Source organism: Homo sapiens, chromosome 3, assembly GCF_000001405.40.
Source record: "Homo sapiens chromosome 3, GRCh38.p14 Primary Assembly".
NCBI classification, from domain to species: Eukaryota; Metazoa; Chordata; class Mammalia; order Primates; family Hominidae; genus Homo; species Homo sapiens.
Window position 1 is genome coordinate 124814827 of NC_000003.12, and position 26264 is coordinate 124841090.

At 44.9% G+C, this 26264-nt stretch overlaps 1 protein-coding gene and 1 long non-coding RNA gene across 11 annotated transcripts in view, besides 8 other annotated features; one reads left to right on the plus strand and one right to left on the minus strand.

Moving 5' to 3' along the window:
- The window catches only part of ITGB5 (integrin subunit beta 5), a 139471-nt gene that overhangs the window by 52879 nt on the left and 60328 nt on the right, over positions 1-26264 (minus strand). For 8 of the 10 annotated variants that reach the window (NM_001354766.2, NM_001354764.2, NM_001354765.1 and 5 more), the window contains exons 6-8: positions 6487-6648; positions 4913-5008; positions 2795-2884 (exon numbers count right to left, since the gene is read on the minus strand). In NM_001354766.2, coding sequence (NP_001341695.1) covers positions 2795-2884; positions 4913-5008; positions 6487-6648 — 348 coding nt within the window. The remainder of the gene's footprint in view (positions 1-2794; positions 2885-4912; positions 5009-6486; positions 6649-26264) is intronic. The other 2 variants (XM_005247436.4, XM_047448088.1) reach the window with 1 other exon arrangement.
- On the plus strand, positions 1666-12874 carry LOC124906277 (uncharacterized). Its single transcript, XR_007096042.1, has 3 exons — positions 1666-1836; positions 5691-5854; positions 12834-12874. It is a non-coding gene; the product is annotated as an uncharacterized LOC124906277 (long non-coding RNA).
- Positions 11792-12455: an enhancer, noted in NCBI's record as "OCT4-NANOG-H3K27ac-H3K4me1 hESC enhancer chr3:124545465-124546128 (GRCh37/hg19 assembly coordinates)". NCBI's record gives its function as "activates a minimal SCP1, AML or CMV promoter by ChIP-STARR-seq in naive H9 embryonic stem cells {active_cell/tissue: H9 hESC(naive)}" and the evidence as "EXISTENCE:reporter gene assay evidence [ECO:0000049][PMID:30033119]".
- Positions 12456-13119: an enhancer, noted in NCBI's record as "NANOG-H3K27ac hESC enhancer chr3:124546129-124546792 (GRCh37/hg19 assembly coordinates)". NCBI's record gives its function as "activates a minimal SCP1, AML or CMV promoter by ChIP-STARR-seq in primed H9 embryonic stem cells {active_cell/tissue: H9 hESC(primed)}" and the evidence as "EXISTENCE:reporter gene assay evidence [ECO:0000049][PMID:30033119]".
- Positions 14448-15111: an enhancer, noted in NCBI's record as "H3K27ac-H3K4me1 hESC enhancer chr3:124548121-124548784 (GRCh37/hg19 assembly coordinates)". NCBI's record gives its function as "activates a minimal SCP1, AML or CMV promoter by ChIP-STARR-seq in primed H9 embryonic stem cells {active_cell/tissue: H9 hESC(primed)}" and the evidence as "EXISTENCE:reporter gene assay evidence [ECO:0000049][PMID:30033119]".
- Positions 15112-15775: an enhancer, noted in NCBI's record as "H3K27ac hESC enhancer chr3:124548785-124549448 (GRCh37/hg19 assembly coordinates)". NCBI's record gives its function as "activates a minimal SCP1, AML or CMV promoter by ChIP-STARR-seq in primed H9 embryonic stem cells {active_cell/tissue: H9 hESC(primed)}" and the evidence as "EXISTENCE:reporter gene assay evidence [ECO:0000049][PMID:30033119]".
- Positions 19250-19749: an enhancer, noted in NCBI's record as "H3K27ac hESC enhancer chr3:124552923-124553422 (GRCh37/hg19 assembly coordinates)". NCBI's record gives its function as "activates a minimal SCP1, AML or CMV promoter by ChIP-STARR-seq in primed H9 embryonic stem cells {active_cell/tissue: H9 hESC(primed)}" and the evidence as "EXISTENCE:reporter gene assay evidence [ECO:0000049][PMID:30033119]".
- Positions 20114-20203: an enhancer, noted in NCBI's record as "active region_20406". NCBI's record gives its function as "activates an Ori minimal core promoter by ATAC-STARR-seq in GM12878 lymphoblastoid cells {active_cell/tissue: GM12878}" and the evidence as "EXISTENCE:reporter gene assay evidence [ECO:0000049][PMID:35858748]".
- Positions 20444-20653: an enhancer, noted in NCBI's record as "active region_20407". NCBI's record gives its function as "activates an Ori minimal core promoter by ATAC-STARR-seq in GM12878 lymphoblastoid cells {active_cell/tissue: GM12878}" and the evidence as "EXISTENCE:reporter gene assay evidence [ECO:0000049][PMID:35858748]".
- Positions 20616-20910: a silencer, noted in NCBI's record as "tiled region #831; K562 Repressive non-DNase unmatched - State 7:EnhWF". NCBI's record gives its function as "represses a minimal TATA promoter and a strong SV40 promoter by Sharpr-MPRA in K562 cells {active_cell/tissue: K562}" and the evidence as "EXISTENCE:reporter gene assay evidence [ECO:0000049][PMID:27701403]".

Consider the following 26264-nt stretch of genomic DNA (forward strand, 5'->3'; position numbering starts at 1 on the left):
AGGAACCAGTTTAACTCGCAGAATCAAGCGACAGTGCTAGGTTCCCACAGTTCCTCTGGGAATTCGTGCCAGGTTCCAAAAGCAGCTCCAGCCCAGAACAACTGTTCCCTGTACTCACCCCTGCTCCCCACTCCCCATCAGCAGGGAGGGATCCACACTCCTCTCCTGGCCTCTGCCTACCACACAGGGAATGCTTTCCCTTGTCACTCCTTGACCCTGGGTACCTGGATTTCCACTAGGAAAATGAATGTAGATATATGAGAAATCCTGCTCAGGGCTAAGCACTTATGAGATCCCATGCATGGAACCAATAAGAAAGCCTCCTGCTCCCTGGTTTTCAGCGGTCCCAGCAGAAGCACAGACACGCAGAACCCACCAGTCACATAGAAGCTGGCTGACCAGTGTGCCTTCCCTGCTGCTGCAAGGCTGCCCAGCCAGGTCTATGGAGCTGTGCGCCATGATGCCCTCTGATATCAAAGCCGCCAGGAGCAGGGGGCCTGGGCCTTCACCAGCCAATGCTCTTGGGGAGCTCCAGAGCTCTGAATTCAGGAGGTGGCTGACAATGAAATGCTGACAAGTGGCCCCTCCGCAGAAGCCTTAAAGAGGGACCTCACCCCACTCAACAGAGCCCAGATGAGCTGCTCTTCAGCCATTTCTTCCCAAAGGCCCTGACTCAGCAGGAGGCAAGCGGTGGCCTCCCTGCCTGTGAGAGTGGGTCCAGCAGCAGTGCACCTTCTGCCCTGTGGGGTCTCCCAGCTCTGGCATCCTCAGAGGGAAGGGGAGAGTGGCAAGGCAGGGGTTCTGGCTCTTGATTTGGTTCTCTTAGTTCAGTGTCCAGAGATTGAGACCCAAGCGGCTCACAGCTCACACCAGCTCACCCCAGGAAAGAGGGTGACATTCACAGGCCTGCCCCTCCTTCCCATGCAGGCTCACATCCCAAACCCTCTCTGGGTGTCGCACTTCAGCAGACCTATTGTGCCCACATAACCAGCTTACGTGTTCCCCCTCTTCCTGAAGTGTAAAGCAAATCACTCACCGTGGAATCTGAAAGGCACTACGGTGTAAAGTTAATTAGGAAACCCTGTCTCACTGCACTCTGGGTTCTGAAGTGCCTATGGGATCTGGTGAGGCTCTAAGGGCCAGAGAACAGAAAAGAGGATGTTAGTATGTGGGCAATGGGGTAGGAGAGAAGGAAGTCTTCAGTTTCTCACAATAGGAAGTTCCAGGAGTATCTGAATCTGTGAGAGCAAGAGGACCCTTGGCTACAACAGGAGATGGGAGCAGTGGGAAGGGGGAAGAAAGGGGGTAAAAACAAGCCAAAAATCCTCACTGCTGCCCACCCGGTTGCCTTCAGGACACTGAGGCTCCAGGGAACTAAGCGCAGGGCTGGCTACACCCCAAGCCCCAGGGTTCCCCCTAGCTGGGCAGTACTTTGCAACTCAAAACAGGGCCACATTGGAAGATGGACAAGGCCAACATTGGGAAAGGCCCAGCTCCAAACACTCATTTGTAATCAGTCACTGCTGGGAAGGCAAGATGACTTTTCTCACAGATGTGTGATGCCGTACTGATTCGTTAGGTTCCCAGGTTAGCCAGAAAAACCTGTTTTACCTAAGTTTAGGATTAATAATGTTACTTAAGCCACACTTAGTCTGTGTATAACTTAGTTTTAACAGGAAGATGCACTCTGAATGCCAATTTAGAAATTACCTGGCGCCTTGAGCAGGTGGGTAGGCAATGGATGCCATAACCATCTTGGGACCCACAAGAGAAGGGATAGCAGAAGGTCCACACTTCCCAACACAAGAGCTCTGCCTGCCGTTTGCCTGACAGAAGGTAGGTCTGAGTCAAGTACTTTTGGGGTGTTATGAATCGAGGGAAAGGAGGGTAGGAAAGAGAAAGGCTTGGGAGGTGAGTCTGTGGATGCGTGGCTTGGAATGTGAAAGTGATTCCTAAACCACCTCTATAAGAACTTACACTTATTATATTAGGGCCAATTTCACATGATATGTTACAATAGCACAGAATTTAATAGCCCCATTCACGAACCCTCTGAAAGGACTTCATTACAATCACATCTTAAGTAGGTAGGCAAAAACATTGATTCTTTGGCCAGGCATGATGGCTCATGCCTGTAAAGCCAGCACTTTGGGAAGCTGAGGTGGGAGGACTGCTTCCAGGAGTTCAAGATCAGACCAACCAGGGCAACATAGTGAGACCTCATCTCTCTATATATATTTTTAAATTAAAAACAAAAATAAAAAAATGGATTGTCGATTCTCCCATGTTAGTCTGCAGCTCTACCCTGAGCTCCATGAGCCTGAGGGATTCCCGCCCTGCCACTGTGAGGTGAGCTCAGCATGCGAACTTTTCACTTCTTGCAGTGTGGTCCTGTGGCTGGTGGATGCTCTGCTCCCTCAGGCAGAGAATACGGTGGCAGCGTTAGCCTGGGCACTGGGTAGGTGGAGAATACCACTGCCTGCCTATGCGAGGTGTCAGAACCTAAGCACTTCCCAGGCCACCAGCCTGAGTCTGAGCCACTCCTTGGCTCACTGAGATCTGCAGATGAGAGTCAAGATGGCAGAGGTGAGAGGGAGACTCATCAAGCAAGGATGGGTTTCTCCACCCTGACCCTGAGTGAAGCAGGAAGAAGATACCAAACTCAAGGGGATGGGGGAGCAGAGCCAAGAAGAGCAGCACGGAGAACTGCCCACCTGAGCCCGCGGCAGCTGCAGGGCCTCAGTGGGAGAGGGTGGAAGGGAGGTGGCAGTGGGGGAAGAAACTGATGACTTACATTGTATGCATTAATAATCAGTTGAATAATATTTTTGGAGTCTCCATCTAAAATCTCCACCGTTGTTCCAGGTATCAGGGCTGTAAAATTCTTGGGAAAAAAAGTAAAGAAAAGAAATAAGTTCATTTTGCCCTGCCAACCATCAGAGTGAGCATTGCTATACTGGGCTAGAACAGTAAAGGCTCCTAGAACCATATCCTGCCACCTTCTCCCACCATGAACTAAAGAAGATCCCACAGGGAAAAGCAAGAAGAAATGGCACAGAAGAAGAGTTGCTACAGTACGCCGTGGAATATCCAGCCCTATAGATCCATAGGAAAGGGGCTCACAAGATCTTTCTCTAAAAGATAATGTCTTGAGACCCCGCCCCTCCCACGGTAACAGACAGCTCTGTAAAAGCCCATCTTCTAAGGTCGACAGCTCCTGACAGTTTCTTGCCATTTCTCCCCCGGTCTCTGAGGTATTCACAGGTTCAGCTTTCAGGATCTGCTCAATCTGTTCAGAAGGCGTGAAAAGGGCAACTTTTCCAAGGGTCTCAAGTATAGACCCTTTCTTTAATAGGAAGCTGAGAGAACGAATGGCGCCCTCCCACGGACCTCTGAGGTCCTGTGGCAAAGGGGCAGCCTTGAAGTACCCACCTTTCCTCTTTCATCTGTACTAACTCCTGAGTCTTCCACTTCTAACAGTGACAGAGACATCTCCCACCCTCTGCCTGCCTTGGGACTGGATGGGCTTCCTCCCCCAAGCAAGGTGTATTTAGCTCTGAGGAAGGATGCTTAAGCCAGTATGGACTTCTTCCCTCTGGAAATATCTGGAAACCCAATACAGTCTGTGCAATTGAGCCCTCTAAAAACATAAAACGTTATTTGTAAGTGCATAGGCTTTTTTTTTTTTTTTTTTTTTTTTTTTTTGCGACAGAATCTCACTCTGTCCCCCAGGCTGGAGTGCAATTGTGCAATCTTGGTTCACGGCAACCTCTGCCCCCTGGGTTCAAGAGATTCTCCTGCCTCAGCCTCCCCGGTAGCTGGGATTGTAGGCACACACCACCACGCCCTGAATAGGCTTTATCCTGCTATCTTCCACTAAACAAAAAAAGAAAAACAATCCTTTTCCCTTGTTTCATCTTCTAACATTGATTTGAACTAAAGGAGGATAAAGAACTCAAGAAAATATAAGTGGCATTTTATCAGTGATAATCTCAGGCAGGAGCAATAGAAAAACACAATCAGACAAAGGTTCTTTTGTGGACATTCAAGAGCAAGAAGGAGAGGGAACTATGGCCAGCTGTTCTGGGGGTGGAGGGTGGAGAGGGATTCCAGATTAAGTTCTCATTGCTTCATCACGTAAAAGAATCTCAGAGACGAGTTTACATTTAGCTTACATGAGCACACCGAGGAGATCTGTAATTCAAACTTGGCTCATCTGTGATTGTGAGAAGGAGCACGTTCATGTGGGGAGTTTTTGAAGATGGTCCAGGGTGACCCAGGAACAGTTTCTTTAGACGGAACAGATCCATACCCAGACTGCTCTATTCACTCAGGACACTTATTGGTTTCTTTGGGAATTCCTGCCCCAGACTAAATGCGGCAGTCCAGGGTGACCCAGGAACAGTTTCTTTAAATGGAACAGATCCATATGCAGACTGCTGTATTCACTCAGGACATTTATTGGTTTCTTTGGGAATTTCTGCGCCAGACTAGCCCACTGGTCTCCTATAGTCTGCAGGCTCAGGCATAAAGCTCTGGAATACAGAGATTAGTGACGTAGCCTGATGAGATGCCTTACTTTTCTTTGTGTGTATCTTCATTTCATTTTATATTTTCCTTCTCTAGTAGAGTGTGCCTCTCTGTTTCCAATTCATCACCCAAAAAAATGGGAATTCATGCTATTTTCAAGGTTTTTCTCAGAATCAAATTAGATACTATATGTTCAAATTTCTTGTAAGGTATTCACTGCTATGCGAATGCTTAATTGTTTCCTCCTATTATTTTCCATTAGATCAAGACTGGGCTATATTCCACCCCTCCTTTGAATTTCCCCCAGATAGGCAGAGTTGTAAACACTCCTCACCACCCACTTCACCCCACAAATCACTAGCCTCCCTCCCTCCCAGCATACCTTGTACAGCATATAATGGTTTTTTGTCACTGCAAAGATGAGGTTGATGTTGTTCTCTGCCAATTTCTCTCCAAGCAAGGCAAGGGATGGATAGTCCTAGGGCCAAGGCAAAAGTCAAGGCTATGACATTCCTAACAGGTGTAGATACCAGCACCTGGCTCCAATGCACAGTCAGCAGCCAGCATTTGCCAGGGAAGCACCTTTTCCTTAGGTGGCCCCTTAGAGTCCCTTAATAACTAAGCCTTCTTGGTAGCTCCTGAACTAAGGAACTGAGTAGAGGAGACCCTCAAGGAAAGGACCCTCTGGCATTCACCAAACTAGATTCACTCCTCTCACCCCAGAGTGGAGAGGTGATGAGTGGAGGTTTTCCATATCTTGTCTGTGTCTCCATCCTTTCAGCAGGGAGGGGGACTAGTGGGGACGCCCTAGAGAACAGCCACCACATCCTACCCTCTGTCATCAGTGCCTCTTACCTGTCCTCTCTCCTCTAAGACTTTTCCTCCCTGCCTCCTTGCCCTATTTTCCTTCTCCTATGCCTAAAGCTTAGGTCTGCCAACATCCCCCACAGGTCCTGCTTCATCCTGCTTGTGGCTCAGACGGGCAGAGGAGGGTGCCGAGCTCTGGACTAAAAGTTGGGCCATGGGGCAGGGGTGCAGAAAGAGGAAGAAGAGAGGAAGCTAAGAGGCAGTTTAACAGTGTCCTGAGGGATTTTGAGGACTAATGATGGGTACAGGGGCCCGCATCTGGTGAGGTCCTACAGTTATAGTCCTTTTTTCAGATTCCATTATTCTTAAACAAGATGGAAGGCTTGGGCACTGACCACCTCTTGAAACTGGAGAAAATGGGCTTCTCTAAGGAAGAAAATTGGGAAGAATTCCTCTTTGGCCACCAGAATGGATTTGAGAAAGAAAAGGATGCAGATTTTGGCAGGAAAATTGCACAGTGAGTATGCAAGATCTTGATCATTGTTGGGTCTGGGTGATGGGCATGTAGGGTTCATTTTACTGGTCTATTATTATATATCTTTGAAATTTTGCACAAATTCTTTCAAATTGCATAGTTGTGGTTATAGACTGTTGGGAGTAGATGGTCCTTGGGACCTCTCATTCCATGCAGAACACTTCTGCCCACCACCACTAACACTGACAGGCAACTCACCACCTCTGGGAGCCCACGTCTAGAAGTCAGGAAGTCCTGCCCCATAACTTCTATACCAGTTGTGACTTCTGCAGGGGCACAGCACCCACCCTCCTTTAAGACACCCTCCCCACTATGAGATCTATCCTGTTTCCCCTGGGCCACCCGTATCCCAACCAAACACTTCCCATTTAGACGCACATTGACAGAAAGATGAACCAGCTACAGAAATCCCTGAGAAATGTTGTAAGTCAATTAGGAGTTCCGGAAACCCAGTTGGAGAAGACTGAATAATGAAACCCAACCCCAAGAAGGGATCAGAAAGCCAGTGAATACTGAGGGCCAGAGGAAGGTTTCAAGGCTGGGCAAGTACTAAGACCACGGGCAGGGTCACAAGAGAGGCAACAGGGAGGGGGGATCTGGTTCCCGGCACTCACCATCTGGTTGGATGCAGTGTACTCGTTGGCCTCGTTCAGGTGGCACTGGCCATCGTGTGGCTGCACCAGGCCTCCCAATTTTCCATCCAATGCGATGTGGGGCACATCATCTGTTGTGAACACCAGCAAATGCAGTGCATCCTTTCGCCAGCCAATCTTCTCCTGAAGGACAGAAGGTGGATGGGTACACCAGTCTTTCTGCCCAGTCCTGCCCTGGTCATGCAGGGCACTGGCCCCTCTCCAGGAGTCACGGCCTGAATCAGAGGCATTCCCCTTGCCATGTGTACCTGGGGCACACTCACAAAACCACTGGGGAGGGATTCCACAGAGGCTCCGAAGAGACGCAGCCTGGACTGGGGAAGCCCAGATGCACACAGACAAATGTCCAAGTCTTTGCCCACTTTGGCCAATGCACCTGAAACCCCCTCCCTCCAGCTCATCATACTCTTCTCTGCTCCTTTCACTGATGACCCCTGAGAGCTGCTCCTCCTGGATGCTTCCCCTTTTGGCCTCAGCTATTCTTCCTTCCCCAGAACAACTTTTAACCTTTCCCCCAACAACATCCCCTGGTTGGCTGGGCTAGCTAGTCTAAGATGATGGTTAAGATTGTTAAGTCCCCCCATTAGACCTGAGTCAATCAGAACAGAGCACTCAAATGACCAATAGATGGGTCTGTCTTTTGAGGGTTTGTAAAACCTGCCGTCTATTCTGGTAGATATAAACCATTCCAATTGTTATTTGAGCCACATTGGTAGTTAAAGTCAATCAGATCCCTTTTCTCCCTTTCTGCTCCACTATCTGAAATTTATCCAGAATTCAGATGGAGGCACAGCTGAATACAGTCTGTATTGGAAAGGAAGGACTCTACATTTTTCATACTCTGCCACTGTGGTGCCAACTCTACACAAAAACACTCCCAGTCATCATTTTTAGGAGCAGCTAGACCTTGATACAGAGCAAGAAACACTGGGATATGGTCGCCTTCATAGTAATGGTGAACGGGCATCCCCAAATGCGTCGGTAGCAGCATGAATAAATGAAGGATTTAAACACTGCTGAGAGTCTTCTATACCTGCACACTTGCTACTGAAATAGGAGACTGGATTCACAGACCTTACAGGTTAAAAGCTATTGCTCTCTTACGACAGATGAAGAGTAGAGGGTATCATCCTCTCTTACTTATCATCATAATGGTGGATAAAACAGCCAAAAGAGCTATGATATTTTCTCACTTGCTCCAGAGGCGGCATGGAAATAAAAAATAAATAAATCACAAAAGAGCCCGCCAACATGAGGAGGAAAAGAAGTTTGAAAAGAAGCCAGTGAGGACTGACAGCCAGGAGACCTACAGTGAACAAAGGGATTAGCCTTTTGGAGAATCAGTTTCCTAGACACTCAATATTCATCCAGCATTCAATCACTGATCTCTTACTGCATGCCAGGCCCCACAGAAGGCACTGGGTCCACAGAAAAGCTAGTTCCAGACCTCAAAGAGCTTATAGTCAAATGGAAACAGCAACTTCAATACACCATGACAGGAGTGTTAATGAAGGAAAGTCCAATGCTAATGGAAGCCAGGGAGAGGAGGAGGAGGGAGAGGCTTCCCAGCGCAGACGAAACTTAAACTGAGCTGGAAAAAATGAGGAGGACACTTCAAGGAAGCTGAAAGAGGGTGGGATGGCTCACACCTAGAATCCCAACACTTTGGGAGGCTGAGGTGAGAGGACGGCATGAGGCCAGGAGTTCAAGACCAGCCTAGGCAACATAGGGAGACCCCATCTCTACAAAAAATATTAAAAAATTAGCCAGCCATGGAGATGTGCACCTGTCATCCCAACTATTCAGGTGGCCAAGGCAGGAGGATCACTTGAGCCCAGGAGTTTGAGACTGCAGTGAGCTATGATCATGCCACTGTGCTCCAGCCTGGGCAACAGAGCAAGATCCTGTCTGTAAAAAAATAAATAAATAAAAATAAAAACAAATAATTTTAAAAAAATTAAAGGAAGCTGAAAGAAGGAATAAGAAGGGAGAAGGCAGAAGAGGAAGTGGGCATTCTAGGCGCTAACAGAAGCTCAGAGGGGAAAGGAGCACAGTGAAGAGGCCAGACACATTTTAGGAACCTGGAGTGAGAAGCCTAGAAGGTCCCTTACTGCAATGAAATGCTAAGCCATAACAAAACTACTTATGGGTAGGAGTTGGAATAGTGGTTCTCCTTGCTGTCAGGATTGGAAGGGGTCACAAAGAGGCTTTCAAGGTGCTGGTGATGTTCTGTTTCTTGACCTTATGAGCATTTATCGAGATGTATAGTATATATATAAACTATATATAAATATATATAAACTATATATATAACTATAGTTTTTGATGTGTACATTTTGATAAAGAGTTAAAACCTATTAAATAAATAAGGCAATGCATTATAAGCCATGGATTGTGGAAAAGAGGGAGCCAGATGCTTGGGAAATAAAATACAATAGAGAGAAAGTATAAACTAGTAGAGTTTTTTGCAGGAAACATGTGAATCTGTTATCCAAAAGGGCACAGCCATGTGCTCAACACCCTAGCAAGGAAGCAGAAAACCAACTTTTAATTTGACAAATTGTATTAAGAACCTTAAGGAAAATCAGAAACCTAAATAAATGGACAGAGATATCATTTCAGGATTGGAAGAGCCGATGGTGTTGAGACGCCATCTCTCTGCAAATTGGTTTATAGATTTGACACAATCACAATCAAAAGCCTAGAAGGCCTTTTTGAGAAAATGACAAGCTGATTATAATATTTATATGAAATTGTAAGCAATGGAAACTAGCAAAACAATTTTGAAAAAGAACAAAGTTGGAGGACTTCGTATCTTAGGTCAAGACTTATTACAAAGCTACAGTAATCAAGGCTATGGTCATGACAAAATATATGCAATGACAGAATGCATAGATCAGTGGACTGGGATAGATAGAGCAAAAATAGATCCACACATATCTAGTCAATTCAGCAGCAAATACTGGAACTGGATATTCATATGCAAAAAAAATGAAGTTCAACCCATATGTCTCATCACACACAAAAATTAACTCAAAGTGGATCATTGACCTAAACGTAGACCTAAAGCTATAAAACTTCTGAAGGAAACCTAGGAGAAAATCTTTGTGACTGTGACATAGGCAAAGATTTCTTAGATAAGATGATTCATAGGATAAAAAGTTGATGAACTGGGCTTCATCAAAACAAAAACTTATTTGTTCAAAACCTTCTTTGAAAAATACTGTGGAGAAAATGAAATGACAGGGCACAGACTGGGAGAAAATATTTGAAAAAATTAAAATCTGATAAAGGATTTGTTTACAGAATATATAAAGAACTGTCATTAGTCACTAAGAAAAAACCCAAACAACTGAATTTAAAAAGTGGTCAAAAGATTTGCACAGACAATTCACCAAAGAAGAGATATGGGTGGAAACAAGCACACAAAAGGGTTCTCAACATCATTAGTCATTAAGGAAATGCAAATTTGAACCACAGCGAGATAGCCATTAGATCCGTATTTGAATAGCAAACCAACAAACAAACTCTGACAGTATCAAGTGCTGATAAAAATGTGGAACGAGGCCTGGCGCGGTGGCTCATGCCTGTAATCCCAGCACTTTGGGAGGCCGAGGTGGGTGGATCACGAGGTCAGAAGATCGAGACCATCCTGGCTAACACGGTGAAACCCCGTCTCTACTAAAATACAAAAAATTAGCTGGGCGTGGTGGTGGGTGCCTGTAATCCCAGCTACTCGGGAGGCTAAGGCAGGAGAATGGCGTGAACCTGGGAGGCACAGTTTGCAGTGAGCCAAGATCATGCCACTGCACTCCAGCCTGGGCAACAGAGCGAGACTCCGTCTCAAAAAAAAAAAAAAAAAAAGTGGAAAGATTAGAACTCTCATAATTGCCTAAGAGAATACAAAATGTTTCACCAACTCTGGAAAACAGTTTGACAGATTCTTACAAAGTTACATATACACTTACTATCAATCCAGCAATTCCACTCTTTGGTATTTACCCAAAAGAAATTAAACTTTATGCTCAAATAAAAACCTATATGCAAGTATTTATAAAAATGTTATTTGCAATCATCATAAACTAGAAACAACCCAAATGTCCATCAGTAATCAACAGACACATCATAATACATCCATACAATTAAATACTACACTGCAATAAAAAGGAACAAACTACTGATAACACACCACAACATGGATGAATCTCAAAGCATTACGTTAAGGGCAAAAAGCCAGACTCAAAAGGCTAATTCCATTCATATGGTATCCAGAAAAAGAAAAAAATACAGGTACAGAAAACAGATCAGTAGTCGCCAAAGTGGCTTAGGGTCATGGGAGGAGATGGATGACAAAGGCATGCTGGGAAACTTTCCGGGGTGATGGAAATAATCCATATCTCAATTGTGGGGGTGGCTATAAGACTTTATACCTAAAAAGGGTCAATTTTACTCTGTGTAAATTATCCTTGACTCAGTGATTCTACTTCAGGGGAATCTATCCACAAGAAGTATTCTGAAATATATGCAACAGTATTTTTATTAATAGTGAGAAAAAGGGAAAGGCATGAATATCCTACTGTGCTGGAAAAGGTAAATAAACTCAGATATCTCCTCTACAGCCATCAGAAATTATTCATAGAAAGGATAAAATTATATGTAAATATCTACAATATAAGATGAAAACAAAGAATTCAGCACTATAGTTATAGTGTGATTACAAACTACTTAAGAAACAAGCATAACTCTCCATTAAGAGAACAAAATACCCCATAATGTGGTTGTGGTTGGGACTGGGGTTAAAGTTATAGACAATTTTTTGTTTTCCCATTATTTTCCAAGTTGTCTTTAATAGGCGGGCACAACTTCTGCAAAACTGGGCTCTGAATGTGGCTCTGTCATTTAACTTCTTCAGTCTCCAGTTCCTCCACGCCAGCTTCTTGAGGGTCTTGTGGGGACACAAAGTGGGGTGGCAGTAAGAAGACAGAACAATGTGGAATTCGGGTGCCTTCTGATGAGCATGTGAATTTTCTTGCTGCCCCTACTTACCTGTGCAGTTTCAGCCAACTATTCAACACCTCAAAAGCTTTTTTCTTATCAGTAGAACAGGAATAATAATATAAAACATGTATTGTGCACTTCCATTATTCCACTTAATCTTCACTGCAACCTTTGTGACATAGGTAATATATTGCAATCTCATAGGTAAGGAAACTGGTGTTCAGAGAGATGAAGTGACCAGCCCATCAACTAGCAAGGGCCAGAGAAGCCAGATTCAGATGACCAAACTCTTGCCCACATTCGTATACAGAGAAGAACTGTGCATGTAATAAATGGGATAATTCATAAACGTGCCTGGTTCATGATGGGCTCTCAACTTGTGGCTGCTGGATCCAAAATAAATGTTTGTTGAATGGAAGGTTGCATCTAAAATGGAAATAGCTCCACAAGTGAAGGATGGCTCAGCATAAGAATAATAATTCTGTTTTCTGTGAAGTGGGCTCTTGTTATGTAAATGGTGTTAACAAACTTGGCCCAGAGGTTGGGCTGCTGCGAATGAGTCAGGACATGCTCGTTCATCACCCAGGCTTTCAGGCTTGGAGGCTTTACAAGTGGTGACTCCACAGAGTATTTACATTAAAAATAATTTCCCTTATTGTTGGGTTGGCTGGCAGAGCTAGCTGTTTTGAAGGCTTGAGTTCTGTATTCCACGTTTGGGGAAGGAAGCAAAAGTGGGAAAGTGGATTGAAACACAAAACAACAAAACAAAACAAAAAAAAACAATGAACTACAAATGGAATATAGCATGAGGGCCAGAGTACATCAGCTTTGGAACAGATTCTGAGGTCAAATCTTTGCTCTGTTCTAACTGTGGGCCCCTCAGTCAGTCACTTCACCTCCTCAGCCTCAGTTCTTCATCTGTAAAATGGAAATAAGCCTGCTTTGCAGAGCTGCTGCTAGGTTTAGACAGGATGTATTAAAAAGTATTATAGTTAACACACAAAAGGGACTATAAAGGGAACTTGTAATTATTATTCCAGGACCAGTAATAATTTTTACATTTCTTCTCTTCTCCTTTTACTAATTGATATGTGAAGCTATATAACTGTTACAGGGAATATAAATTATTGCATGCTAAACAATTTAAAAGCCTTGTATTAATTCAAAACTACAATAAGATCCTACCACATGCCTTTACAGTATCTAAAATTTAAGACTGACCACATCAAATGTTGATAAAGATATGTAGAGACCGGAACCCTCACGCCCTGCTGGTAGGAATGTAAAATGATAAATGTTCTTTGTGTCAGGCCTCTGAGCCCAAGCTAAGCCATCGTATCCCCTGTGACCTGCACGTATACATCCAGATGGCCCGCAGCAAGTGAAGAATCACAAAAGAAGTGAAAATGGCCTGTTCCTGCCTGAACTGATGACATTCCACCACAAAAGTGAAAATGGCCGGTCCCTGCCTTAACTGATGACATTACCTTGTGAAATTCCTTCTCCTCGCTCATCCTGGCTCAAAAGCTCCCCCACTGAGCACCTTGTGACCCCCACCCCTGCCAGCCAGAGAACAACCCCCTTTGACTGTAATTTTCCACTACCTACCCAAATCTTATAAAACAGCACCCCCCCAACGCCCCCGCCGCCAGCTCCCTTCGCTGACTCTCTTTTCAGACTCAGCCTGCCTGCACCCAGGTGATTAAAAAGCTTTATTGTTCGCGCAAAGCCTGTTTGGTGGTCTCTTCACAGGGACGTGCGTGAAACTTTGGAAAACAGTTTGGCAGTTTCTTAAAAAGTTAAAGACCTACCATATGACCCAACCATCCCACTCCTGGGTACTGACCCAAGGGAAATGAAAGCATACGTCCATACAAAGACATGAACATGAACATTTACAGCAGCTCTCTCATAACAGGCAAAAACTAATGTCCATTAACAGATGAATGGATACATAAACTGTTGCATATCTATGCGATGGAATACTACTCAGCAACAAAAGGAATGAATGGATACACTAACGGCGTGAATGAATCTCAAAATAACTGCTAAGGGAAATAAGGCAGGCAAAAAAAGAGTGTATACTAGGCATATGAAATTTGAGTAAATGCAGTCTAGTGTGTAGTGACAGAAAGCAAATTCATTGCCTGGGGTAAGGGAGGCAGGAGGGAGAAGAGGAAGAAATGATGATAAAGGGGCACAAATACACTTTTAGGGGTGAAGGATATGTTTGTTACCTTGATCGCAGAGTTGCTTTCGTGAGTGTACATAAATGTCAAAATTTGTTAAACTGTACACTTTCAATATGTGTAGCTCATTGTACATCAATTATACTTCGATGCTCAGGCTGGTCTTGAACTCCTAGGCTCAAGCCATCGCAGTGCTGGCCTCCCAAAGTGCTGGGATTACACGCATGCGCCACCACACTGGGCCCAAATACTTTTTTATTTAATAGCAGTATTCACACAGAATTTAGGTGCATGGGCTCAGGTATCTGGCTAATCTGATTTCGGTCCCATGTCTCCCTTATCTTGTTTTTGTGATCTTAGACAACTTACTTAATCTTTCCCTATCTCAGCTTCCTTGTTTATAAGAGGGAGGTAATAATAGTATTGATAAAATAGGGTTGTTGAGAGAATTAAAGAAGATGATACACATTGAGCACCCCATTCAGTATCTGGTATGGGATCAATAGTAATTAATAGTTATCATCATAGTATTTCCACGGAGTTGAAAAACTGTCACTTATATCTATAATTCAGAAAAACATCATCTTATCTTTATATTAATAGAATTATGGGTGATGCTTATTTCCTTTCTGCTTATCTACATTTTCTAATTTTTTATGTTGAATATATTCTCTTTTTATAAATAGTTTTTAAAAGAAGGAGAAGACCTATTTATTTAGCTGAACTTTTCTCTATGTCTTTAAGTAAAGCCAAAATGTAAACAAAACCAATTTCGCTAAACATGACAGAGGTCAGCCTCAGATGAAAGCGTTAGGAGCGCGTGGGGCGGAAACGCACTGGACGCAGATGCATGAAGCCAGGCATCCGGTCAGGGCTGCGAGTCCTGTCACTTTTCTTTGTTCACTGTCAAATTCACCACGAGGTCTATTTCCAACTCCTGCTTCCACACTCATGCGAGGGAACGACCTCACTTGTTTCGTCACCCACAGAGATAGGTAAAAGGACTTCTCCCTTCACCTATTCCCAGGATCTCACAGTTCTGGTCCTAGGCCCTAGGATGCCTTTCAGCCAGTGCTCTCCTCTCCGTCTGAAACAAACTGGCATGTCCTCCCAGCCTCGCTCTGATCTCACCATCCCAAGGGAAGAAGTGCTCCTCCCTCCTTGAGGAAACACAGCCCTGCAAACCCCACCCTCTTTGGAGAATTTATTCCATTGTCACTGTCTCCTCTGGTCCCTTCCATGTGCCTACAAATATGTTCATGGCCCACTAATAACAAGCCTTCTCTTCACCCTGCGACGCCACCAAACTCTCATCACTCGCCTCTCTCTTTTAAGACCAGCAGACCTATTTCCTCCTCTCAGTTCCTTAAAATCTGACCTCACTCTCAGTCATCCATGAAAAGGGGAAGCAGGAATGAGATGGAAGACCAGCCCTTCCCAGTCACTGAGAAAATTAACAAAAATGGACTCCTCCCAGGAGTGAAGACAGACTCGCTGGCTTGTTCACTTCCAACATCTGGCCCCAGAGAACAGGGACTGGCAGAGAGAGAAACAAATGGTTAGGGAGTAAAGGACCTGGTTTCACTAGTTTGAGGACGCAAGCTTCCAGCCTGTGGAGCAATTTGGCTTCTTAAGGCTGAAAGGAGTCACACTCTGGCTACAGGTCTGACAAAAAAGGAAGCTCACACAGAGAACCAAGAACAGCTTCCATCCTTCTCTGCCCCACCCTCCACAGTTTTTCCCTGGTCTCGGTCCCACCTGACTTTCACCCATATGGTAAGGTGGCTCCATGGGAAGCCAACAGGAGCCAGGAAGAAGTCAGCTCAAAGTCAGCTGCACTTGGCAAATAAAATGAACATGTATAGCAGAGTTCATGGTCACTGTGGCCAAATACAGGGGCAGCTTAGAGGGTGCACTGCTGAGAACCAGAGAAGACAGGCTCCAAGGGGCTACAACAGGACAAAAGCACCAATGGATGACTGTGTAGAAAAACAGAGAAAACATGTAGCACCTGAATTCTGGAAGGAACCTCAGAGGTTCTTGTACAGCCTCCCATCCAGTGCAGGGATCTTTCCTCCAGCATCTGCCACCTGGGTATGGGGCCCACACACATACTCACTGCCACACTGCTAAGCAGCTCTCCTTGATAGAAAATTCTTCCTTGGCCGGGCACGGTGGCTCATGCCTGTAATCCTAGCCCTTTGGGAGGCCAAGGCAGATGCATTACCTGAGGTCAGGAGTTTGAGACCGGCCTGGCCAACATGATGAAATCCCGTCTCTACTAAAAACACAAAAGTTAGCCAGGCGTGGTGGCACGTGCCTGTAATCCTAGCTACTTGGGAGGCTGAGGCAAGAGAATTGCTTGAACCCAGGAGGCAGAGGTTGCAGTGAGCTGAGATCACACCACTGAACTCCAGCCTGGGTGACAGAGCACAACTCCATCTCAAACGAACAACAACAACAACAACAAAAAAACAAGAAAATTCTTCCTTACATTGGACTCCAACCTGCTTTCCTGTGGCTACCCTAGTACATCCCCTGGAATAGCCAAAAGGGTCTATTCCCTCTTTTATAATGATATCTGAGGTCAGTTACCATGCTACTTCCTATGGTGTCTCTCCTCTGAGGATGTGGTTCCCATGCCCGGCACCACCCACTTATCCCCTCTGCTCTCTCGCTGTCAATGTCTGTCTTAAACACAGCTCCCAGAGGCAGGCCAGGCATGGTTCCCTGGATGTGGTCTGACCTGCACAGAGGAACTAGGCTGGAAAAGTGGCCTGTGGGCTCTGAATTGGACCTGGAGCATGAGGCCTGTGTTTGGCAGCTGAATCTTCCTACTGGCTCATGTTAAGCCTGGGGATCCCCAGGTCCATTTCATAGTAACTTATTTACGCAAATGGACAATGGCAGAGCATGACAAGTGAGACAGGCAGATTCAAGGACGCCCCGTGGGAAGGTGCAGGGGAAGGCCCAGACCACCAATTCTTGGGAATCTGAGGAAAGCCAACGTCCCACTCAGCTGTCGGAAAACACAAGTGGGGCCTGCCTGAACATGGGCTGGCTCACTGAGCTTGGCTTGCTAGTTCAAACACAAGGGAGTTCTGGAATAAAGATGCCATCCCAGAGACTGTAGCTTTAAATTTCTAGGTTCTCTGATCCCGAGGTCAATCTGCCTAATTAAAATTAACAATTGTCCAAATGAAGAGGCCCTCAAGACTGTTATCAACGCAGCCCAGGGGCCCCAGTTATCACAGAAGAGTCACCAGGCACATGTACTCTCTCTGCTGGAAAAGATCCACCACGTGAAAAGCAGCATTGTGCCTCAGTGCTATCTGAGCAAGCCCAAGGGAGAAGAGCCGATGGGTCTGAGACACCCTCCAAATTAGGAATGAGAAGGCAGATATCAGAGTTTCCATTTTACAGACAGGGAAGCCAGAGGCAAAGATAAGCATTTCACATATCCATCAGCATGCTAACCTTGGGACAGTACCAGTGGCCTCCCTGGAAAATCCTGAGGGCTGATAGAGTCACATGATAACTGTTTCTGATAGAGAGGAAACTCTTAGCTCCAGAAAAGAGTGGCACATGCAACTTTCTTCCCCTGGGACTGTTTCAGTACCATTCTACAGTTGGCAAACTGGGTCATGTGGGTAATTGTGATGGTTCCATAGACTGGGACTGTGCTCTCTTTGGAAGCACACTCTTCCCACTTCTGTGTTCCTGTGTGACTTCAAAAGATGGCAGATACTCTAATGTCAAGGTTAAGCCATACCAGCAGGTAGATAAGGTTTCCAATTCTGGTGCTGCCTTTTGTGGCTGTAAAACTTTGGGGAAGTTACTTCACCTTTCTAGGCTTGTTTCCTCATCAAAGGAGATAGTAAAGCCACCTTCAAAGGAGTATGTGAAAGAAACCCTGTTAAATGCCTGGTACAGAGCCTGGCTCTCAAAAGCACTCAGCCAGTGGTGATCAACAGCATCATTAGCACCAGCACCTCACCAGGAAGCAAGAGACCAGGATGACCCCTTGAGAGAGAAGAATACTCTAACTGAACCACGGGTCTGAAGGAGCCAGTCCTTCCACAGAGTCTGTTCTCTGGCTGTGCCTTAGATCCTACACATACATCAGTCCTACAACTAGAGTGATGCTCATGGAGACAGGCATCACGGCTACTTCAACTCTGCATTCCCCACAGCACCTAACAGGACGTCTTGTACACAGTAAGTACTCAAGACGTTTTCAAATGTAATAACAAAACACTGTCCATTAACCTTTCAGGCAAGCACTGAGGAAGAGGGGACAGGTTTCAAGGCAGGAATGAGGAAGGAAAGGGGACTGACCTGGGCAGCCAGTGGGCAGCTCCCACAGTAGATCTGAGCTTGGGGACAGAGGAGTCTCCACAGCACATAAGGGAAAACAAGGTTAGAGGGTCTCTGTGATTGGTTTCCCGAATCATGTTGACATTCAGGCATATTTCCATCCCTTTAAAACAATATACACATTCTTTTTAGTTTGTTTTTCCTACTTCCATCCACTGTTTGCAATGAAATATCTTTTTTAAAAAAATCTGTTCTGTGGCTAAACTTAATGAGGCCAAAAGTGTAGCATTTCTTTCCTTGGGAAAAAGAAATCTTGGCCTATGACTCAGGATACAGACATTCCTCTTGAGCTCAAATCCCAGCAATGTGCAGGATGACATTTCTAATCTGTACTCTGTGACACAGTCCAATCTGAATTATAGAACATTTTGGAATGAAGAAGGTTGAACCATATGAATTTTCCATTTTTGCAGGAAAAACATCAATAGGCAAATAACAAATATCATCAATAAATATCAATAATTTTATATGGTTCAATCTAATGTTTCCAAACAGGTTGTTTTATTTCCCTTCTAATGGATCTGCAGGCTCAAATCAAATCCCAGAGGATAGAGACTTCTCATCTATCTTTAATTTTCTCCACCATACCTGCCACTGAGCATTTATTGGACAGCCAATAAATGCTTTCTGAATGGAAAAGTATTACCAAGTAATAGTACTTCTGGTTCTGCTTTAATGAATTTGCATGAAGCACTGTAAATTCCATGGAGGCAGCCTGGTGGATGGGAGGGTGGAAGTCCCATCCAGGATGGGACAAGCTTGGGGCCAGAAGAACCTGGTATTCCTGAACTTCAGAAGCATAAAGGCACCTGTGAGAATGAAGCCTTTGTTCCCAGATGTTTAACAAGCATCTGTTATGTGCCCAGCAGTGTCTGGTGCTGGGAATATAGTCATAAGAAAAAAGACATAGTCCCTGCCTTCAGGGAGTTTACTATCTCAAAGGGAGGCAGGCATTCCAGGAATGCTTCAAATAAATAAAAATAAGATGATAACTAGGACAGAAGTGATTAAGGGCTTGCCTGGAGCCAGGGCATCCTGACCTACTCAGGGAAGTCCACCAGGGAGGGCTTCTCTGACAAACAGACAGTGAAGCTGAAATCTGAAACACAAACAGGCACAGGTTAGACATTAAAAGGAAAACAGATTCCGGGGGAGGAAGCAGGAATGGACAAGTGGAGCACAGGGACTTCCGGGGCAGGGAAGCTACTCTGTGTGATATTTAATGGTGGCTACCTGTTGTCGTACATTTGTTAAAACCCACAGAACTGTACAAACCAAGAGTGAACCCTAATGTGAACTATGGACTCTGGTTGATAATGATGTGTCAACACTGACTGGGTCACTGATTGTAACAAATATACCACACTGATGTGGAATGCTGATGGTGGGGGAGGTTGTGTGCGCAGTGGTCAGAGGGAAGTTGTGGGAATTCTTTATTTTCTATTCATTTTTGCTATGAACCTAAAACTGCTATAAAAAATAAAATCTACTGAAAGAAAGAAAGAAAGAAGGAAACAAAGAAAGAAAGAAGGAAGGAAGGAAGGAAAGAGAGAGAGAAAGAAGGGAAGGATGGGAAGGGAGGGAGGGAGAGGAGGGAAGGAAGGAGGGAGGCGAGGAAGGGGAGGGAGGGGAGGGAGCGGGGGGAGGGAGGGAGGAAGGAAGGAAGGAAAGAAGGAAGGAAAGAGAGAGAGAGAAGGGAAGGATGGGGAGGGAGGGAGGGAGGGAAGGACGGACAGGAGGAAGGGGAGGGAGGGGAGGGAGGAAAGAAGGAAGGAAGGAAGCAAGCAAGCAAACCAGGAATACAGGGAAGTAGTATCAAAGAAAACCAGGAATACAGGAATGGAGTATCCAAACAGAGGAAACAACACATGCAAAGGCCTTGCCTGAGTCAGAGTAACGCACTCCAGGTCACTGTGGCTGGAATGCAGAGGCCACAGGTAGAGGCCACAGGCAGAGAGCCTTGCAACAGGAGCCCAAGAGCAAATTCCTGTCTCCTTTCATCTTTGCTCAGTGGACATTCCAAGCAAGAAGGAGCCTCTGACTTAAAATAAAAAATTGACATTCTCACCTGGTATGAAAACAGAGCCCCAGCCATCAAAGGGGCCTCCTACCCTTTCCCCAGGATGATTATTCCCTGCCTTGGTCAGTGAAGGGAGCCACCAGCACGTGTAGACACCTCCTAAGCACAGGTGCAAGGCAGGCACGTGACTTGTTTACACTAGAGGGCAAAAAGAAACGCAAACTCTCCCACGTGCCCTGTTCACGATACTGAGTTATGACTCAGCCAGTTCCCACCGCTCAACCCAGAACAGCAGCTGTCGGTGGGGCTGCGGAGCCCACAACACAGCTCACAGCAGAAGGCAGAGCCAGGAAACCACGGAGTCCTGCACTTGGGATGTCGCCTCAGAGACCAAAACAGTAGAAGGATTCAGAAGTGCACATGAAACCACTGCCGTCTGCCACATAGAAAGCCAAGGGGAAGCTGCGCCACACCTGTCTGACAACAACCCTACAGGGCAGAGGGTCTGCACACCTGCATGCGCAATGCCCAGAGAAATCCAATACTTTAATGGTGCTTCCCCAAAGACACGGCAGCACAGGAAGAGCAGGCAGCCTGGCGCTGGATCAAGCCCCGGAAACCTGTGGTGCGATCTGCTAGCAGAAGCAGCTCACACATGCTGAGACAGACAACGCAGACAGCTGGGAAGCAGAACATGTGGCGGGTCCCTCTCTTCAGGTGGTGCAGAGGTTTGAGGAGTGGGGGGATGCCTTCCTTGAGGAAAGAAAGGCAATTTCCTGTATTTCTCAACTCATGCTTGGAAAAGTGACACAAGTCTGAGGTCTAAAAGAAATCAGGCAATAAGTCAAAAGAAAGCGAGTCAATTCTGCAGGAACTGGGAGCTGGGAGGGAGCAAGAGGAAACCCTGACAAAGTTGTGCCTGACTCTGGGACTGGGGAATTTTCCACATTTTACAGGTGTCTGCAGCAGCCTCTACTGGGTCTGAGGCTTAAGCCTGAGCCAGAAGAGACAAAAAAGCAAAATCAAAGGCCTTGAGCAAAGGAGACAGGGCTGTGACCAAGTCCTCTGCGAGAAGTGGCACTGGCTGGCACAGATGGAAGGCAACCTGGAGCACCTCCCTCCAGTCCCATGCCTCCCTGCATCTCCCAGATGTGCTCTCTGAGGCCTGGAGAAGTCAACTGGCTTCCATGGAGGCAGCCGATAACAGAAGAGGCAGAGCTTGAGTAAGGAAAACATGACTCTAAATTCAGTGCCTTCCTAGGTTTGGAATGTATTATTAAAAAAAAAAAAATTCAACAGGCTGTGTGCAGTGGCTCACACCTATAATCCCAGCATTTTGGGAGGCTGAGGTGGGCAGATCACTTGAGCCCAGAAGTTCAAGACCAGCCTGGCCAACATGGACAAACCATGTCTTTACTAAAAATACAAAAAAATTAGCTGGGCAAGGTTGCAGTGAGCCATGATAACACCACAGCACTCCAGCCTGGGCGATAGAATGAGATCTCCTTTCAAAAAAAAAAGAAAAAGAAAAAAAAATTGTTTTAAATAAATAAATGCAGTGCCCCTTACTCAATAGTGCATTATTGTTACTTCCCAGAGCACACAGTCACTGAGTAATAAAAAGGGCACAGAATTTCAAATCAACAGAACTGGTTCACATTCTGGTTCTACTCCTTACTAAATGCAATTAGTCCCTGTGATACTCAGTTTCCACCCCTGTAAAATGGGAACAACCCTTATCAGAGTCCTACCAATATACTGTAGGATTCTGGTAAGGATCCTCCAACAAGAATCACGGCTCCTCTGAGGCTGTGGTCTTCATTTTAGATAAGATATTCTGGCCAGGGAAGAATAAAGGTCTCAATTCCTGCCAAAAAAATTTTATTCAATACATAAATTTACCTTGTTTGCTTTAAGACTTACTCATCCAACTATTTTTGAGAGGAAATAAATGCTTTAAAAATTGAACACAGGCAAAATTAAAAGAATCAGGATTAAAACAGAAACTCTGTCTAAAGAATACAAAGGATAAGTGCCAGGGCTCTAGCAGTGGAGACAAACAGGGAAACGCATTGGGTTGCACTGATTTATTTTCTGGCTGACGAAAAAAAGCAGCACATAGAATACTGTGCAGCCAGCATGTACCCAGCCAAGCTCAAATGTACAAGTAACTTCTTTAACCTGAGAGCCATGAAGAAGAGCAAAGTGATAACTGACAACTTGGGACCCAGAGCTTCCAGGCAACTGCTCACCCTCTGTCCTCCCTAGGCCAAGGGCGTGCCCTGTTTTGAGAGAAGAGGAAAGCAGCCATATTTCCAGTCTGAACCACACATCACACTTCCGCCTGCACAATTTCAGAACAAACAACTTAGAGTCAACTTCTAGAAGGTCCTGGCAGAGAAACCATTATTCTGACCATAAAAAAGTATAAACAGGTTCAATCATAGGCTCTGGGTAAAGATAAGAAATTACAGGCAGTGGCATTCTCCAACTCCAACCCAGCCAGGAACAGTGCATTAGAAAAAATGCCCGCCTTGACGACAGAAGCATCCCTTAGCTGTGGATGCTGTTAGATGGCCTCTCACAGCAATGTGACCTGCAGGGGATAAATAAAGCAACTCAAAACCTCCATTCATAGAAACAGGGTCCTTATCATAAATGGAATGAATCCTAAATAGAAACAGGTAGTTTCCTTCTTTTTGCAAAGAACATCTTTCAAGAGCAGGCCACAGAGGTGGATTTAAAGTCAGACATGTGAATATTCCATACCCCTAAATCCCACAAGTTGATAACTAACAGTCCATTCAGGGAAACAAGAATGAGAATAAAACCAGAGTGAGAATAAAACCAGGACAAAGAGCTCCCTGTGGCGCTGGGAGATAGGCCTGTTATCAGCTCCATCTCCAGGGCACAGGGTCAGGGGAAGTAGAGCGTGCAGCGCTGCCGGGGAATTGCCTGGCCAACTCCAGCCCCTATGACGCACAGAGCCAACTGCACAAGATTCCAGGCCTTCTCCCTCTGTTCCACTGTTTGCAGGATTCAGTGGAAGGGCCTTTAATCTGGCCAGATCAGGAGGAGACACAGCATTCAGTAAACAAAGTAAGGGATACTTAGGACTTACAAATGATAGCCAAGATCTGCTTCAAATATGGGTGTGGTTGGGAATACAAATGCAACAAGACTGGTCATGAGTTAGTAATCATTAAAGACGAACAATGAGTACATGGGGTTTCATTTCACTATTCTTTATTCTGAAACTGTTCCAGAATAAAAAAAAAAAAAAAGAAATCATACTTATTCACTGTGGAAATTTAGGTAAATATTAAACAAAAAGCCAAAGAAGAAAATAAGCCTATCACCTATCAGAAAAATATAATCTTGTCACCTGAGACAACCACTGTTACCATTTTGTTCCATTTCCAATCTTTTCCACATTTTTTCTTTCTTTTGTTTGCAAAACAGAAGTATACTGTCCATATTGTTTTATAACCTGCTTCCCATGCCAATCTTAATTTATCTTACATATTATTCTGGAAATTCTTAAAACATAAAACATTGGGTTGTATCTTCCCTAAGGACAATTTTTCCTAGAAGAGGGAGCCAAGAGAGAGCAAAGTTACTATTAAAGCCATCTGATACTAATACCTTACATATTATTCAAGTCATTAAAATTTTTTTTTTTTTGAGACAGAGTCTTGCTCTGTTGCCCAGGCTGGAGTGCAGTGGCATGATCTCGGTTCACTGAAAGCTCCGCCTCCGGGGTTCACACCATTCTCCTGCCTCAGCCTCCCGAGTAGCTGGGACTACAGGCGCCTGCCACCACGCCCGGCTAATTTTTTGTATTTTTAGTAGAGACGGGGTTTCACCGCGTTAGCCAGGATGGTCTCGATCTCCTGACCTCATGATCTGCCCGCCTCAGCCTCTCAAAGTGCTAGGATTACAGGCGTGAGCCACCGCGCCCAGCCTCAAGTCATTAAATATTTTAAGTAGTATGACTGTTGCGTAGTCTTTCATCCAAAAGTAGTCCATAAACTACTTCCAATTTTTTGTCACCATAAGGCTGTGGTGAGCCAGGAAGGATGACATGTTTTATAAGTAGGTGATGTCAAGTGAGAAATAAATTGCTTAGTATGCACCTGAACATAAACTGACAGCACAATGGAAAAGAAAAGGCAAAGAGAGATGCTGGAGGCACATTGGCTGCATAATTCTGAGCAATCATTAACTTTCCAGGTATTCCCTTTTGCAAAGGTCGTGGTGAGGAATAAAGAGCAAATTTCAACAGGTATAAGCCTGAAACTTGCTCACAAAGTGCCTCTCCGTCAACAATAATTCACCAGGTCCAGACAATGAACTGAGAAAATCTGCTAGCATCGCCTCTGAAATGCTTGAGTCTTGAAATACTGTGTTTTCAAAGGGTTGAAGATTTCATCCATCAGGGATGGCACAGGAAGGTTCCATAGACATAGACTGGATCAAATGGCTTCTCAAAGACCACTGTGGTCCAAGTGATCAATCATGCCCTTTCAATTCATCTAATTGAATAAAATATACTCAGACACTGCTTAGGCCTGTAATTGGGTTCTTTCTCCAGAGAAAGATGAATTTCTCTCTCCAAAAAAAGAAAATCCATAAAATCCTCAAGGTGGGGAGATGAGGGGGATCCTATGTCTTCTCTGCACTATTTTTTTCCCTACCAAGAAGCAGAATTTGGCTGAATGTCTGTGGAGAAAACGCCTCCTATAGTCAATATCTGAAAGTCAGTCAAAAATATAATTTTTCTTTCTGAATCAAATTCATAAACTATTTTGTGAAACATTTGAAAGGTTCAGGACTGAATACATTCTAACCATGTTTCCATGTGTCTCTCTCAGACTGCTAAGAGACACCAGGGACTTCTGAATCAAACAATTTGGCTCTGGCCAGTAGCTGGGAAGAGGCCACACTGCAGCCTTCCTGGATAGGAAGCCACTGCTACCTTCTTCTCCAGGAGGGGCCCACAGACTCTGTGATGGGCAGAACCACAGTGGGATCAAGAGAATGGCAGATGGCTGTTGCTGCTTTCTTTACATTTTACCTTCTCCTTATCCATTTCCTTCTGCCATTTTGGTTTTTTATTTCAGAAAGGACAACTGGGGTTTTCTTCCCATCTTGTCAAGGATTGAGTGGAGAGGAAACAGGAGTCTGTGTGACACACCAGATTCAGGCTCTGAGGTCAGAAACTGTGTAAGTGAGCAATTAAGTGCTTATCACTTAATAAGTGAATAGCAGCTGCCATATGCAGGCTCTCTAGACTGAGTTCTAGCCTCTGACCCTGCCCTCACCAAATGGAAGAGTCCCCACCTATTGAGGAATCTGCCTGAATTTTCAAGAAAGTATTACCAATTATTCACACTCTATTGATGACCACTTTGAAAAAATATGAAATGTATGCACAAAGACTAAGAAGAGACTCACAGATTTTTAAAGTATGTGTTATGATAGTGAATTTAAGAGTGTTTTTTTTTTGTTATTGTTATTGGGTTGTTTCAACAGTAGAAAATTATTTTAAGACTATGTTATCACCAACATTCCATTTATATATTTTGCTAAGATTGGAACCTCTCGAAGCATGAGTTCATTTCTGATCTAAGTCTAGGCCCTCCCTCTGGATTCATATATCACAGAGAAGCAGGAGGAAAACAACTAGAATTGCAACCAAAGATGCCACACAATTCTTTTTCTTTCTTTTTTTTTTTTTTAAATTTGAGACAGAGTCTCACACTGTCGCCCAGGCTGGAGTGCAGTGGCACAATCTCCACTCACTGCAACCTCCGCCTCCTGGTTCAAGCGATTCTCCTGCCTCAGCCTCCCGAGTAGCTGGGATTACAGGCACCCGTCACCATGCCCGGCTAATTTTTTTGTATTTTCAGTAGAGACAGGGTTTCACTATGTTGGCCAGGCTGGCCTTGAACTCCTGACCTCGTGATCCACCTGCCTCGGCCTCCCAAAGTGCTGGGATTACAGGCGTGAGCCACCACGCCCGGCCTCACACAATTCTTTTTCAACTGGGTTTCCCAAGAGAGCAATCTCTAAGGTTTGCCAAAATTGGTCCAGAAAGCTCTACAAGCTTCTATGCCTATGACTTGACCTTTACTTTTTTCCCCTGAAAATAA